This window comes from Homo sapiens, chromosome 22 (genome assembly GCF_000001405.40).
Source record: "Homo sapiens chromosome 22, GRCh38.p14 Primary Assembly".
Classification (NCBI taxonomy): Eukaryota; Metazoa; Chordata; class Mammalia; order Primates; family Hominidae; genus Homo; species Homo sapiens.
This window is the reverse complement of record NC_000022.11, coordinates 27802284-27818972: the sequence shown is the minus strand read 5'-3', so window position 1 is coordinate 27818972 and position 16689 is coordinate 27802284. Positions and strand designations below refer to the sequence as shown.

The following is a 16689-nucleotide window of genomic DNA, read 5'->3' as shown; positions in this document are numbered from 1 at the left end:
ACCCCAGCGTCTCCAGAAGGGAGCTTGTCAAACCAACTTGAAGGGCCTGGTGTTCCTGAGACGTATTTCCATCAGGCAGGTGAGCCAGGCTCTTCGGCCGCCTTCGTATACGCCTGTAACTGCCAGGAGACACTCAAATGCCTGTGCCAGAGGATCCACATTTCTCTGGGCATCCCAGGCCCCGTGGAGACAGGTCTGTAGCTAAGACGTTCAGAGAGGGCATGGCCCCTTCTCGCTGTTCAAACCCAGGCCTTTTCTATGCGAGTGTAGAGGTGACCCCATGCTCTAGTCACCTCCAGTGCAAAATTAGATTCTGCTGAACTTCGAGTACTTCTTGGGTAGTTGTCTTTGGTTGGAGGAGTCATGCCTGATATTTCTTCTGGGGGTTGGAAGAAGATGGTTTTGATTTTCTGAGACTAAAGGATCTCACAATTGGAGGTCAGGAGGTGGGTTCCAGCCTCAGTGGGGAGTTGTTTCTAGCTTGCTTTGTGATCCTGGGAAGCCTTCTCGACTCTGAACTTCATCTTCCTTATGGTGCTTTGTTCTGGCCAGAGTATTAGAGGGATCCAGGAAGGAGAATGTGGTCTCAGCTTGTTCTTTCAACCCATGCCACATACTATAGAAATATGATTGTCACCACCCAGAGCTGGACCTCATCTTCTTCGGGCAAAACTATAATTGCATGTGGATTTTTTTTTTTTTAGACAGGGTCTCTGCTGGAGTGCCGTGGCATAATCATAGCTCACTGCAGCCTCAGCCTCCTGGGCTCAAGTGATCCTCCCATCTAAGCCTCCTGAGTAGCTGAGGAGCTGGGAGCATGGGTGCATACCACCACACCTAGATATATATATATATATATTTTTTTTTTTTTTTTGAGACAGAGTCTCGCTCTGTAGACTAGGCTGAGTGCAGTGGCGTCATCTTGGCTCACTGCAACCTCCGCCTCTTGGGTTCAAGCAATTCTCCTGCCTTAGCCTCCTGAGTAGCTGGGATTACAGGCGCCTGCCACCATGCCTGGCTAATTTTTTTTTGCATTTTCAGTAGAGACAGGGTTTCACCATGTTGGCCAGGCTGGTCATGAACCCCTGACCTCAGGTGATCTGCCTGCCTCGGCCTCCCAAAGTGCTGGCCCCAGCCACGATATATATTTTTTTATTAAAAAAATTTTTTTTTGTAGACATGAAGTCTCACCATGTTGCTTAGGCTGGTCTCAAACTCCTGGGCTCAAGTGATCCTCCCACCTCAGCCTCTTGAGTAGCGGGGATTGTTACAGGTGCACCACTGTGCCTGGCTAATTTTTATTTTTGGTAAAGAAGAGGTGGTACATGCCTGTAATCCCAACAACTGGGGAGGCTGAGGCAAGAGAATTGGTTGAACCCAGGAGGCAGAGGTTGCAGTGAGCCAAGATCGTGCCACTGCACTCCAGCCTGGGTGACAGAGCGAGACTCCATCTCAGGAAAAAAAAAAGAAAGAAAAGAAAAAGAATCAAGGTGTGCTGAGTTGACTAGTTTACCCTGAAAACTCACATCCACTTGGACCCTGTGAATGCGACCCTTTTTTGATAATAGAGCCTTTATAGATGCAATCACATTAAAATGTGGTCATATTGGATTAGGGTGGGACATAAATCCAATATGACTGGCGCCCTTAGAAGAAGAGGAAGATTTGAATACAGGGACACACAGGAGGACACCACATGAAGACAAAGGCAGGGATTGGAAGGATGCCTCCACAAGTTCAGGAAAGTCAAAGGTTACTGGGAGCCACCAGAAGCTGGAAGAGGTGCGGAAAAGCTCTCCCCTAGAGCCCAGGAGAGAGCAAGCTTCTGCTCCCACCTTGATTGCAGAAGTCTGGTCTCCAGGACTGAGAAAATAAAGTTTTGTTGTTTTAAGCCACCAAGCAGGAGGTCACTACCCGTCCTGTTTCAGCTGCTCAAAGATGATTTTTTTCTATGTGACATAGTGTTGAGACTGATGGAAAGAGAATGGCTTAGAGAAAAGAAGGAAGGAAGGAGGGAGGGAGGAAGTGAGGAAGAGAAGGAAGAGAAGGAAGAAAGAGAGGGAAGGAAGGGAGGGAGGGAAGGGAAGGAAAAGGGGGAGAAAGAGAAAAGGAAGAAAGGAAGAAGGGAAAAAAGGAGGGAGGAAGGGAGGGAAGGAGGGAAAGAGAGAGGAAGGAAGGAGGAAAGGAAAGAAAAAAGGATCAGAAGAGGGAGGAGGGAGGGAAAGAAGGAAGGAAGGGAAGGAAGGGAAGGAAAAGAGGAGAAAGAAAAAGAAAGGAAGGAAGGAAGGAGGGAAAGGAGGAAGGAAGAAAGAAAGAAAGAAAGGAGGGAGAGAGGAAAAGCAGGATGTATGAAATATCGCAATCCGCTCTTGAGAGGGTTAGCTCCGGGAGGGGTGGGGCCTTGTCAATTCCATTCACTGATGTCTCTCCAGAGCCTAGAACTGAGCTAAGCAAAGCAGGGCCCACAGTAGATGCTACCTGCGTATTTACTGAATGGATGGATGAATGAACGGAGGTCACTTCTCCTTAATCTTCAGAGGCTTCCTTTGGTCAACAAGTCCTGAAAACCTGGCCCTGCCACCACCCTGAGCTTCTCTGATTGCCCTCAGCTCCTGAACTTTCCACACTCCTTTCTGCCTCAGGACCTTTGCATGCCATTCTCTGCCTTTAACACCACTTCTCTGTTTTTCTGTTTTTTCCCTTAGTTAATTTCTATTTGTTCACCCCAGTGCCCTAGTTTTAGTCAGACTCTTTCATTGAAGGCACTTACTGTCTTTTTCCCTTTAAGGACCTTAGGGGCTTGATCTCTTTGTCATTTTATACTGGTGGTGAGCATGTCACGTTCATACCTGTCTCCTCTGGACTGTGAGTCCATAGGAGGCTGAGACCACGCCTGCTTTAACCCATTATCATATTCCTGGTGCCTGGCACATAGTAGGTGCTCAGTTAAAGTCTGTTGAAATAAATTGTCATTTGCAGCAGTCCTAACCTTAGCTCTTCCTCTCTGGGAGCCTCAATTTCCCCAATGGCAAGGGCTTACTAGAACCCAGTTTGCATGGTTCCTGGGAAGTCACTTCATGCTTAGCCCAGGGGTGGTCTGGATGTGTAGTTAGGGCTGTGTGAGACCTTCCCCTCCCAAGGGGAGGAAGGGCTGGCAGGGATCCTTCTGGTTCTTTCCTTCAGGGGGTGTTGTGAATGCAGGTGCTGGGTTGCCTGGGGCCATGCAGGGCTGTGTGCTCCTGCCTCCCCTCCAACTCCACTGGGTTTGCTGCCCTTCTCCAACCTGCACCCATCCCCCACACCTGCCTCTTCTCTGCATCTTCCTGCCTCTTGGCCAGTGAGTGTATCTAGGTCATGTATGACCTTTTTCTTCCATGCAAACTAGAGTGAGGACCAGTTCTCCCATCCCAGCCTGCCAAACAGGAAACCAGGAGCCATCTGGGGCTCTTCCCTGTTGGCATGCTGTTCCACTGCCTAGAATGCCTTCCCTGCTTCTCCTGCAACTCTATTGGGGTGTCACCTCCTCGAGGAAGCTGGCCCTGACTCCCTTCCTCTCCAGGGTCTCCTCTCAGCTCCTGCAGGCCTAGAACTTCCCTCACACAGGCTTTCAGAATCTGCCCTGTGTTTATCGCCCCAGACTGAGCAGGGCTGGCCTGGCACACAGTAGGGCTCATGAAGCCTTTGCGGGGTGAGGAAGAACTTCACTCCTCTCAAGTCCTGGGTGCTGTGACCACACAGCCTCACAGGACAACGGGAGGCAGCAAAGAGGCCAGGCTCAGAGTCAGACAGAACTTTCGGGCCTCAGTCTTCCTGTCTATAAAATGGGTGCTGTGAGGATTCAAGAAGAGAAAGATCCGTAAAGATCAAGATACAGGACCCACTGTCCTGCTCACCTTTGAATTTCCACGGGTTTCACTGTGCCTGGCACATAGTAAGTGCTCAGTAAATAGTTTTTATAATTGAGGCAACAATTTTATGAAAATTACTGCCCAGCACATAGTAGGTGCTCAAGACATTTATTGCATGGATTAGTCAATATCTATAAAGCACTTAGCCTGGCATATAGACAGTGCTTAATAAATGACTATGGTTAATATTATTGTGTGTGTGTGTGTGTGTGTGTGTGTGTGTGTGTGTTTATTTTATTTTATTTTTTTCTGAGATAGAGTCTTGCTCTGTTGCCCAGGCTGGAGTGCAGTGGTACAATCTCAGCTCACTATAACCTCTGCCTCCTGGGTTCAAGCGATTCTTGTGCCTCAGCTTCCTGAGTAGCTGGGATTACAGGCACCTGCCACCACGCCGGGCTAATTTTTGTATTTTTAGCAGAGATAAGGTTTCACCATGTTGGCCAGGCTGGTTTTGAACTCCTGACCTCAAGTGATCTGCCCGCCTTAGCCTCCCAAAGTACTGGGATTACAGGCGTGCACGATGGCACTGTGCCAAATATTACTGTTATTATTATTATTTTGAGACAGAGTCTCACTCTGTCACCCAGGCTGGAGTGCAGTGGTGTGATCTCGGCTCACTGCAACCTCCGCCTCCTGGGTTCATGCCATTCTCCTGTGTCAGCCTCCCGAGTAGCTGGGACTACAGGTGCCCACCACCACGCCCAGCTAATTTTTTATATTTTTAGTAGAGACAGGGTTTCACCGTGTTAGCCTGGCTGGTCTCGATCTCCTGACCTCGTGATCCACCCGCCTCGGCCTCCCAAAGTGCTGGGATTACAGGTGTGAGCCACTGCACCTGGCCTACTGTTCTTATTAAAGGAAATGGAGGCCCTGAGAGGAGAAGTGACCTGCCCCAGCTCACATAGCTGGGGCTTGAAATCAGGGTGAATCCAAATCTGGGACCGCTGGACTTCATCTGCATCTTGATCATTTCTGGAAAATACTGAGTACTTACTATATGTCAGGCACTGAGCCTGGCACCTTGGGAGCACAAAGAAAAATGAGACACAGCCCCTGCCCCTGGTGAGCTTGTAGTCCAGTTTTGGCAATAAACAGGTAAGCGTGAGGTTAGACTACAAGGAGAAGCTTGCGGTGCATTATAAGTCAGCAGCACGAAGGGGCCTGGGTGCAGAGAGGAGAGGATGTCACCCTGCCCGAGGTCATCAGGCTTCTGAGGCACCGTGACTCCTGAGCACAGTGTTTTTAAGAATTAGTGGGCCTTAGGCTGGGCGCGGTGGCTCACGCCTGTAATCCCAGCACTTTGGGAGGCTGAGGTGGGTGGATCACGAAGTCAGGAGTTCGAGACCAGCGTGGCCAACATGGTGAAACCCTGTCTCTACTAAAGATACAAAAACTTAGCCGGGCATGGTGATGCACACCTGTAATCCCAGCTACTCGGAAAGCTGAGGCAGGAGAATTGTGTGAACCCAGGAGGTGGAGGTTGCAGTGAGCCGAGATAGTGCCATTGCACTCCAGCCTGGGCAACAGGGTGAGGCTCCATCTCAAAAAAAAAAAAAAAAAAGAATTAGTGGGTCTTGGGCTGTGTGTGGTGGCTCACGCTTATAATCCCAGCACTTTGGGAGGCCAAGGCGGGCAGATCACCTGAGGTCAGGAATTTGAGACCAGTGTGGCCAACATGGCAAAACCCCGTCTCTACTAAAAATACAAAAATTAGCTGGATGTGGTGGCAGGTGCCTGTAATCCCAGCTACTTGGGAGGCTGAGGCAGGAGAATCACTTGAGCCCAGGCAGCAGAGGGTGCAGTGAGCCAGGATTGCACCAGTGTCCTCCAGCCTGGACAACAGAGCGAGACTCCGTCTTAAAAAAAAAAAAAAATTAGTGGGTCTTGATTCAAAGAAGTTGGAAATATATTTTTCACAAATGCAGTAATTCACACATAATGAAACAAAAGTTTCACTAGATAATTGTTGTAATATAAGGTGTACTTACTTGTATAGCTTACGTTTTGTTTTTATTGTGGTAAAATATACATAACATAAAATGTATCACTTTACCCATCTTTAAGTGCTCAGTACAGTAGCATTAAGTACCACCACATTGTTGTGTAGCCATTACTGCTATTCATCCACAGAACTTTTTCATCATCCCAAACAGAAACTGCACCCATGAAACACTAACTCCCTATTCCGCGATACCCCGTCCCCTGGTAAACTTTAATTCTACTTTCTGTTTCTATGAGTCTTCTTCTAGTTACTTCACGTTAGTGGAATCACCCACTGTCTTTTTGTGTCTGGATTCTTTCTTTCTTTCTTTCTTTTTTTAGATGGAGTTTCACTCTTGTGGCCCAGGCTGGAGTGCAATGGTGCGATCTCGGCTCACCACAACCTCTGCCTCCTGTGTTCAAGTGATTCTCCTGCCTCAGCCTCCTGAGTAGCTGGGATTACAGGTACGCACCACCACGCCCAGCTAATTTTGTATTTTTAGTAGAGATGGGGTTTCTCCATGTTGGTCACGCTGGTCTCGAAGTCCCAACCTTAGGTGATCCACCCACCTCAGCCTCCCAAAGTGCTAGGATTACAGGCATGAGCCACCGTGCCTGGCCTGGATTATTTCATTTGGCATAATGTCTTCAATGTTCATCCATGTTGTAGCATGAGTCAGAATTTCATTTCTTTCTTTTTTTCTTTTTTCTTTTTTTTGAGACAGGGTATTGCTCTGTTACCCAGGCTGGAGTTCAGTGATATGATCATAGCTACTGCAGCCTCAACTCCCTGGGCTTGAGACATCCTCCCACCTCAGCCTCCTGAGTAGCTGGGACCACAGGCATGTGCTACCATGTCTGGCTATATTTTTAATTCTTTTGTAGAGACAGGGTCTCCCTATGTTGCCCAGGCTGGTCTCAAATATCTGGGCTTAAGCGATCCTCCTGCCTCAGCCTCCCAAAGTGCTGGGATTACAAGACTGTGCCTGTCTAGAATTTCATTTCTTTTTGTGGCTGATGAGTATTCCATTGTATGTGTATACCACACTCCCTAAATGGCTTTTTAATCTATAAATTGGTCACAATCTGCAGTTTGAAAAGTACCAAGTAGGGCCTTGCAGGATGAATAGGAGTTCATAAGACTGGACTGCAAGGGCCCTTCACTCCTTCATTCGGAAAATGAATGAAATGCAAACAGAAGTGGCCAAAACCAGGAAGAACCCCTGCTGGTTGGGTGCTCCTGATGGAGTGGGGTGGACTGAGATTCATTAAGGATCCCAGAAGATAACACTGCTGGATGTTGCGCTACCCAGACCTTGGGGGTAAGAGAGCATTCCAGTGCCGGGATTATCTGGTAGGAGTTGCCGGGGGCGGCGGGGGGCATTTCCCTGAGGATGTGGCGGCTGAGCTGAGGTGTGGCTGTGCCTTCACTGAGCAAAAAGCCCTCCAGCCATGGGCACAACCCCTGCCAGGGCCTGTGATGGGAGAAGGTGAGAAGGGCACAGTAGGGGCCAGTGCAGCTCTGGTGGAGGGACTGGGCCAGGCATGGCAAGGTCACCCGGGCTGGGCATGCAGGGCCTTGCACACTGCAGTGAGGAATTTGATCTTTATTCTCAAAAGATAGATCCACTGAATGTTCTAAGGATATGAGTGAAGGGCTGTCTGTGACCTGACTTTATCAGGTTTAGAGCCCAGCTGCTGCCCAGGTCTGGAGAGCGGTGGCCAGGGCCAGGAAGGGAGGGATAAAATGGGCAGAGATTTCAACAGACCTGGGAGTGGGCTGAATCAGTGTGGGCACTTTGTGCATGTGTGTGTGCATGTGGACACAGGTGTGCATGAGTGCATGTACGTGTGTGTGCACACCCAGCAAGCATTCAAGTTAGGGGAGCGTCCCCAGGCCTCCCTCTCTCCACCTGAGCCAAGAAGGTGCAGCAGACACACTGATGACCAGGGTGACTCCATGCCTGGTGATACTCCCCTCCTCCAGGCCTGACCTCTGGAACATCACTGGGTCCCGGTGCCTCCTGCTCCCGCTCTCTCCCAGCTCCCTGTGATTTAAGAGGCATTTTCCTTTTGGGTGATATAGATTCCAAAACGCTGCATCCATCTCCTGGGCTTGGTGAGGCCGGCCTGTCTGAGTTATAGCAGATTGCTTTCTGCTCAGGGAAGGGGGGCGGAGGGCACTGGTTTGCTCTTAACGCTCTCTGGGCTCGGAACATTTGAGCAAACATTCCTGGCCGCTTTGGAAGTTTGGAAACCCAGATGAGCTCATCGGAGCCAGAGGTGGGGGCAGCTGGCGCCTGCAGCCTGCCTGGAGCTCACCAGGTGGCCGGGTGGCAAATGTCGGAGGCTGGCGGCTAAGCCTCAGCTGGGGTGGAGGTGGCCAAGAGAGGGTGGGGCCTGCACAGCTGGGGCCTGGCCCAGAGAACCCGGGGTGAGTCCTCTCTCTACTCAGCGCTCCTTTTCCTTGCTGGCAGGGCCTTGGCGTGACAAGGCCTCCGGACCGGACCGGAGCCAGGAGTCTCAGGACCATGCAGCCAGGGTCTGAGGGGAGACCAAAGAGAGCAGGCACCTCATCAATTCAGGGCTGCCCCGCAGGGAGCCACCCGCCCTGCAGGGGCCTGGCTCCATGTAGTAGCTGCCGTTTATTGAGTGTTAACTACGTGCTAAATGCTCTGTGCTTGTTCACCCCCCTGACAACTCCAGAGAAGATTATCCTCCTCATTTGACAAATGGGGAAACTGAGGCTCAAGGAGGTAAAGGGACTATGTGCAGTCGAGCCTGAGGCCGACCCTGTTCACCTCCAGACTGCACTGCCTTCCTGCTATGCACACAACAACAATTAAAGGAAGAGCTGGTAACACTGTCACAGGGCGAATGGTGATGATTTGTGAACGTTTCCAAGAATCTGATCAAATAAGCACATTACTCACTGCCTCTGGGCTCTGTTTCCTAGTTGGGTGGGAAGGGCCATTCAAAGCCCATCAGCCCCATTGTCGTCCACTTTACAATCCCTTAGACAGTGTGACTGATGGTGGGGGTGGGAGGTGGGGTGTCTGAGGGTTCCCTGGGGGTTCCGTTCGTTTCCTTCCTGAGCCCTTTGGGCAATAAGTGTGGGATCTTCTTTTGGAGGAACTCTCCCCAAGCTCCTTCTCAAAGTGGTGTCCTGCCTCTAGGTTCCCGTCCATAAAATGGGCACACATCTATTCCTGCAGTACAATTGGTGCGAGAATTAGAAATAACCTATGGAAAGGAGTCCATCTTATGGTGAGTGCTCAGAGATGGGAGGCTGCTTTCCTCCTATCCTGGATCTCTGGAGGATGTCAGCAAGGCACCCCCCATTTCTTACACTGGAGCACACTTCCAGGGAGCCTTAGAGAGGAGGTGCCTCTACTCGCCTCCCAGGGATGGCGTGTGACTGCTGTGCTTAACCTACACCATTTCATTCCGTCTTCACGTATGTCCTTTGCTGTAGGTACTGCTGGAAACTGATTTTACAGATGAGGAAACTGAGGCACAGAGAAGGGAATGATGCACTCAAGGTCACAGATCTCAGATCTGTGTGATGCTCTAAACCACCCCAGCACACCCCTCTGTAAGGAAAGTGAAGAGGAATGGGGCGCTGTAGAGCAAACAGGGACGCACCTGCCACATGCCGGCTGCCGTCGCTGCTGACACATGGAGGAGCTTGGCTGCAGACTCCAGCTGCACACAGGGCTCCTTCCTGGAAGATAAGCTCAGCCTGGGTCTTGGCATTGGGGGTGGTTCCTTCCAGCACTTGCTCTTTACCTCAGTGGAGACAGGGCATGCAGCCATGGGTGTCTGAGAGGGTGGGGGACAGGAGATGCAGGTGACAATCGACAGTGTGATTTGAAAGGTGTCGGCTAATGACTGGTCCATCCAAAGTTTTCCCATCATAGATGCTTATTTTGTTCTGTTTATGAGGCTGGCTTTCCAGCGAGGTTCTCGGTGGTAATGAGCCCACATTGCTGATGGCCGCAGGGAGGGAAAATGAAGAGGTGGGGAGGGAGGGGCTTGTGAGCATGCTAAATAGGTTTGTTGAATAACCTGCTGAACTTTTGCATTTTCTGACTAATTGTGTGGTATGTGACGCTTTATGAGTGATGGCTGTTTTTTTTATTCCTCCTTTTTTTGCTGAATAGGGACTTTTTCAAGGGGAGGCTAACTGGGCCCTGGAGTCGCTGGGGCCTCCGTTCCAGCCTGTGGGGCTGGTTTGAGTTATTTTGGGAGCAGGGCCTGGGTTCAGCATACTTCACTTAGAGAATGGAAAATAGAAGCTCATAGCTGGATGCCGTCTGGGGAAGAGAAACCCACGTAGATGGAGACATTGGCAGGATGGCTCTAGGACCCTACGGATCCGAGTATGAAACCAGGCCCTGCCATGCAGTCGCGATGTGGCTTTGAACACGTCGTTCTTGTACCAATCAGAGCCTCCATTCCAGAGGATAATGGAGATGCTTACTTCCTAGGGTTGCTTTCTGGATTCAGTGAGGTCTAAGAGAGTTTCTGTGTTCAGAAAAGGGGAGGTTTGTAGCATCGTTCCAATTCATGCTTTCAAGCAAGGGTCTCATTTCTGATCCTCCATGTCACAAGCTAAGCGTGTTGCTGTGCGGTTGAGATACTGGCTCTGGCTCTGAGCTAGACTCATGAAAATGGAGCATTCCCCGGGAAGGTTGGGTTGTCCAGGAGATCTGGAGACTAGCGGCAAGCTATGGAGCCTCAGCCCCATGTGTCTGGTACCTGGGAAGTTGAAATGCCCTATAGTGGCCACAGCTCTTCTCCTGCACAGGTAGCCCTGCCAGGCCAAGTGCGCTGGGGATACTTCTTGTTCCAGGTATCTTTTGAGGGGAAATTCAGTAGTTCCCTACACTGAAACCTTGTGATCAGACCCCAGAGACCTCAGGGGAGCAGCGAAGTAAAACAATAGAGAAAGCAGGGACCCCTCTTTAGGGCTGGGACTCTCCAGGGGCTTAGACCCAGGGCCAGGCATCAGAACTGTGGGCAAGGCGTCCTCTTTCCAGATGGTAGCCCTGGGTTTGAGAAAGGGAGAATCTTTGTGACTGATACGTGGGCTAATGGTGAAGTTAGGCTAGGCCTGGTTTGAGTTCTGGCTCTGACTCTTACTTGCCGTGTGACCTAGGGCAAGCTCCTTCACCTCTCTGTGCCTCAGTTTTCACTTTTATAAAATGGAAAAAGAATAGAACCTACCTCACAGGGTAGCTATGTAATATACTAACACTATAAAATATACTGTACATATATAATTTATATAAGTTATATAGTGGGGACTGGGTGCTTTCTCACACTTTTGCCTCCCTCACACGCTTGGAGACAGGTCGGGGGTGGTGATACTGGGCTTTGAACCTAGGAGATCTGGCTCTCATTTAGAAATGCCCCTAAACCTACCCCAACTGAGAAATGGGCAGGAGGTCCTGCTCCGCAGAGAGCAGCATCTATAATCACCGAACCAAGAGGGGACTCTTGTCTGTGCACGGGCCTGAGATGGAAGAGGCAGCAGGCACGGTCCTGCTCTGTGCTGGCTGCTTGGGTACAGACCTGAGACTTCCCCTATCCCAAGCCCTGTTTCCAAGGAAACTAGGTAAAGATGGCTCCTGGGGCCACAGTGAAGGCAAAGAAAGGGAGACCCTCAGGTCTCCAGGGATATTTAAAACTCACCTTGGACAATGTCTCTTGGTCTTGCTTTAAACCTTTCCATAGCTCCCCAGAACAATGTCCAAACTTTCCCACCCGGCCTTGAGGTCCTCCTGATCCTGCCCCTTCCTCATACTGCTCTAAACTCACTTCTGCTTGAGCCTTCCTGCACCCCGTCTAACATGATTACTCCTCTTGGAAAGTCCTGTGACCCTATTTGGTTGTCAAACTCCTATTCTACTTTCAAAACCCAACATTGGGAATCCTTCTCTATTATCCCTCCTTCCCGGCAGTTATTTTGTCCCTTACAGGTGTGTAATGTAGTCCTTTCACATCAAATAGTAGGTTTCCTTTGATCTGGCTTGAAGGCTGGGACTGTGTCTGCTACATTTTTTCTTGAGTTCCTAGACCAGGCCCTGGCATATTATAAGCATTTGGTATGTACATAATGAACAGATCGAGGAGAGACCCCAAAAGACAGACATTGTGTGTAGCAAGATAGACGAGGTGCTGTTGCTTGGCAAACAGCAGACTATAGCTCCATGAGGGTCTCATATCTTCTGACTCTAGTCATCTGCCCTCTCCTCTGTCCTGGTCATAGCTGGGGCTTCCTGGGATTGTGGTTCTGTTCTGCATCTCCCCGCATCCAAACACAGAAGAAATAATCATGGTCATAAGAGGGGCTGCCATTTAAAGAATGTCTGTCCTGTGCCGTGCTCTGTTCCACTCTGAAAGCATTGTCTCCAGTCCCTATGCTGTATATCAACTGGCCTTCATGTCTCTTTCCAACAGGGGAAACTGAGGTTCAGAGAAAAAAGTATTTTGCTTAAGGTCACGCAGCTCATAAGTGGTGAAGACAAGACTTGAATCTGAATCTGTAATGCCCAAATCCTTGACCTTTCCACCACTGGCCCACTGGAGAGGCCTGTTCTGCTGACCCCAGGTGTCCGGAGAAGTAGCTTCCCCTCCAGTCCTTCTAGGAACACTGCCTGCAAGAAGGGCTTGAGCTTCTGTGGTCCCGGTGAGTTTCCAAGCTCCAAAGGATACGGGGGTTAGAGGAAGAAGGCTAAGGATATTGCTGTGTGTGTGTGTGTGTGTGTGTGTGTGTGTGTGTTTGTACTAGTTTCTCATGTTTGTGTGGGTGAGGGAGACACTGAGAATAATATGAATCATAATTTTGATAATATTTGGTAATAATCACAGTGGTAATAAAGGTTGCTAACACTTGTTGGCACTTACCATGTCCCCTGCACTGTGCTAAGTGTTTTACCTGAACGATCACATTCAGGTAGAGCAGGCCGTGGTTAAGAGACAGGCGTCAGTGTCAGGGAGATTAGAATCTCAGCTCTGCCATTGTTTGACTTTGGGAAAGTCCCTTGACTTTCTCGATCTCCTCATCTGTAGAATGGGTTCTGAGTCCCCACTTCATGGCGTTGCCGTGAGGATGACCATGGGTATAATGCACAAAGCACCAGCCTGACACGGAAGGAGCCTTCCATGTCCTGAAGCCAGTGGGCAGACTCATCCACTATGGGGAGGGGTGTGTGTGTGTGTGTGTGTGTGTGTGTGCTGACATCCCCACACTATGGAGGGGTGTGTGTGTGAGTACATGGATGCTGACATCCACACACTATGGAGGGGTGTGTGTGTGTGTGTGTGCTGACATAGCCACACGCTATGGAGGTGTATATGTGTGTGTGTGTGTGTGTGCTGACATAGCCACACACTATGGAGGTGTATGTGTGTGTGTGTGTGTGTGTGCTGACATCCACACACTATGGAGGTGTACGTGTGTGTGAGTGTGTTGACAGCTACACACTATGGAGATGTATGTGTGAGTGTGTGTATAAGTACATGGATGCTGACATCCACATACTATGGCGGGGTGTGTATGTGCTAACATAGCCACACGCTATGGAGGTGTATATGTGTGTGTGTGCTGACATCCACACACTATGGAGGGGTGTGTGTGTGTGTGTGAGTACGTGTATGCTGATATTGCTCTGTGTGTGCATGTGAGTGCATGTGTTTGCTGACACAGCCACACACTATGGAGGTAAGTGTGTACATGTGTCTGTGCTGGTGGTGTTGGGGGCCAACGGGGCAGGCACGAAGGCTGTGTGTCTCCTGGGTGACGGGTATTGGGTGTGGGTTGCTTTGTGTTTCTATAGAGTGAGAGTTCACTGGTGGGCTGCAGGCTGAGGCTCCTGGGCTAGCTGAGGTGTGCCAGGCTCTCCATATCAGCGGTGAGTGTTCTGGGGGCCATCCCAGGCAGTTCCCCACTTGTCACCAGCTTAAAACATCCCTCTCCAGCTCTGGGGCCCCATCCAGCTGTGTCTCCTCCTTCCCTTGCCCAGAGGGCCTCCTCTGGCCGTTGCCAGCACACTCAGTGCCCCCGGAGGGGGACCTGGGGAGGGAGGAGGATGGAGAAAGCCCTGGCGGGTGGAGGGCCCTGAGGCTCCTACTGCTCCCGGCTCTGCGCCTGCGGGGACTTTGAATTCATCTGAGCGCTAGGGGGCAATGTGTCTGTTCCAAAGAAACACTGCGGGACCTTGCGGGCGAAAGCACACACAGGCACACGCAGGGGTGCCCACACTGTGGAGGCGCACACGCCGGCGCATACACGGGCACAGATGGGCACAGGCTGTGAGGCACACGCCCTCACACTCGCAGAAAAAACAGATACACTGGAGCAGAGATACAGGCATGCAAGGGGTGAGGCAGCTGCACACACACAGGTACAAACGCAGTGGCTCACACACACAGAAATGCGGGGTTGGGGGACAGACAGAGAACATGCACCAAGACCCCCAAAGATCCATGCACGAACGCCGACGCAGGCATGGACAGAAACACACGCAGATGCCCCGCCACCCGCATACAAGCAAAGGCACAAAATGCAGACGTGTGCCACACACCCGCACAACATTTGCAGTGTTAAAGAAAGGTGACCGAGACACACATCCTGAACAGAAACTTCACCAGGTCCAAACACTCCCTTCTTTCAGCCACTCACACACCTTGTGGAGCTAACTCTTGGAAACAGCCCCAGAAAAATACTCCCACACCCCCCCTCCCTGGAGCACACGGAATTATTCCACAGGAAACCTGCCCAGGTGTGCTGGAGACCCCCACCCAGCCCTGTGTGAAGTCATGCCTCAGCTCTGCAGACGCCCCCATCCGGGTCTCCCCAGACGACAGGCCTGTGAGCCATTCTTCCCACTCTCCTGGCCCACCCCCAGGCTCCAGACAGGTCCCCACTTTTCCCTATTTCCTCCAGACACAGAAACACAGGCGGCTCATAGGTGCCTCAGGAGACACCCATAGTCGAGAGCAGACTGAGTGTGTGACCCAGTATCTTGGACTATGCCCAGGCCTTTGCCCATGTGGGGGCCTCTTCCTCACAACCAGGTTTTCCTATTGCCTCCCGCTTTTTGTCCAGGAGGTTCAAGATCCCCCCTGCTCTGTCTCGGGAGCCCCAGAGCCCCAGGGTCCTAGGCCCCGGGGCGGGCGGGGGGGGGGTGTCACTGGAGGGCCTACCCAAGCCTTTATTTCTTTGTGCCTAAATCAGCAAAGCCTCAGTCTTTTCTCTGGCTCTCACTTCCCTGTCACTTTGCTAAGTAATAATTTCCATGTCCAATTCCATTTCTTTTCTAGTTCTGAAACCTCTAAGCTATCAGCAAGAGGATAGTTCACATGAAAACTAATTACACAAAATCAATATTTAATCACAGACCAACAACCTGATCCTGCAGAAAAATCCTTTAAAAACTCCACCGCCCTGTACAAATACTTATTCCCTATGCTTATTTATGGACCCCATTTTTGATGGGGGTAATTTTCATTTTTAATTTCAAAAAAGAAAAAATATATATGTCTGTAAACTTCCACAACAGGAAGGCCCCGGGAAAGGTCTTGGATCTGAGCTTGCTCTGGCTGAGTTTTAAAGTTGTTGTTTTTTCTTGTTTGTTTATTTTTAATTAAAATTTTTTTTGGGCGGGGGGCAATTTCTTAGGAATTCTGCCGCTACCCCAAAGTTGAGCCCATTTCCCCCCACCCCCGGCATGTCGGTTCTGGCATACTTAGCACTGCCTTCCTAGCCGCAACTCAGGGGAGCAATGAATCTGCGCGTACGACATGGTAACTTTTTAACTCCTGCCCGCGACGGTGGAGTGCTTAATCTAAGGTTTTTAAATAAAAAGGGCTCAGGGGTTGGTTTTATTATAACGTTTATTTCATTTCAGATTTCATGCGTAATTTAGCAAACGCTAGACAGACTCGGGCGATAAACACTTTCTTTTGTGGGGGGGGAAAGGCATTTTCATACACCACGCTTAATTTTATTTAGATTTAATAGCGATATCAGGGGCACTTCAAAGAAAGTTCTTTTTTCGCCCTTCTCCTAAGAATGCGAATCTGCTAGCAAAATCGCCTCGTGCTATTTTATGGCAAGGAAAATTAAAGGCCTTCTCCCCCCTCCTTCCCTACACACACTTTAGGGAGGAACACACACACACACACACACGCATGCACAAACACACGCACGCAGGCGCGAGCACACGCACACAGGCGCACAGAATAAACACCTCTATCCTCCATCACCTCTAACTTCCAACTTCTAATTGCAAGATAGATTTCAGCCTCTGTGGGGATCAGGACGATCTAAACATTTTAACTAAGATTATTGGGATAAATATTTCATAAAGAGCAGGGCAGATATTAAATTACTCCTATTGATTTTAGTATCACAGCCCAATTCCATTCCTCGGCCTCTTCAGTTTAATTGATCTCTTAAGGAGGCCAACTTCGCACCCGCAGAGGGTCTGGGTCTTGGACCGGGTGGCCCAGGGCAAGGTGTGCGGCCCGGCGGGTGCGCCCTCTTCGTGCGTGTCTTCTCGGGGTTCCCAGCCGCCTCGCAAGTCGCTCCGGTTACTGGGCTCAACCGATGTGCTCCCCCATAAAGTGGCTGAGTGACTGTGACTCCTTGGAGCCCACGCCGGCCGGTGAGAACCGGGAACCCCAGGCAGTGGGGAAGGGGAACAATTGTGAACGCCCTAGTGACGGAGGAGTGAGCAAGCGCCCAGGTCTCTCGAGGAGAACCCTAACTTCGAGGTTCCCCGTCTGCTTT

At 50.4% G+C, this 16689-nt stretch overlaps 4 annotated features.

The window, feature by feature from the left end:
* Nucleotides 7921-8442: an enhancer, noted in NCBI's record as "NANOG-H3K4me1 hESC enhancer chr22:28206519-28207040 (GRCh37/hg19 assembly coordinates)". NCBI's record gives its function as "activates a minimal SCP1, AML or CMV promoter by ChIP-STARR-seq in primed H9 embryonic stem cells {active_cell/tissue: H9 hESC(primed)}" and the evidence as "EXISTENCE:reporter gene assay evidence [ECO:0000049][PMID:30033119]".
* Nucleotides 8443-8964: an enhancer, noted in NCBI's record as "NANOG-H3K4me1 hESC enhancer chr22:28205997-28206518 (GRCh37/hg19 assembly coordinates)". NCBI's record gives its function as "activates a minimal SCP1, AML or CMV promoter by ChIP-STARR-seq in primed H9 embryonic stem cells {active_cell/tissue: H9 hESC(primed)}" and the evidence as "EXISTENCE:reporter gene assay evidence [ECO:0000049][PMID:30033119]".
* Nucleotides 13680-14243: an enhancer, noted in NCBI's record as "H3K4me1 hESC enhancer chr22:28200718-28201281 (GRCh37/hg19 assembly coordinates)". NCBI's record gives its function as "activates a minimal SCP1, AML or CMV promoter by ChIP-STARR-seq in naive H9 embryonic stem cells {active_cell/tissue: H9 hESC(naive)}" and the evidence as "EXISTENCE:reporter gene assay evidence [ECO:0000049][PMID:30033119]".
* Nucleotides 14244-14808: an enhancer, noted in NCBI's record as "H3K4me1 hESC enhancer chr22:28200153-28200717 (GRCh37/hg19 assembly coordinates)". NCBI's record gives its function as "activates a minimal SCP1, AML or CMV promoter by ChIP-STARR-seq in naive H9 embryonic stem cells {active_cell/tissue: H9 hESC(naive)}" and the evidence as "EXISTENCE:reporter gene assay evidence [ECO:0000049][PMID:30033119]".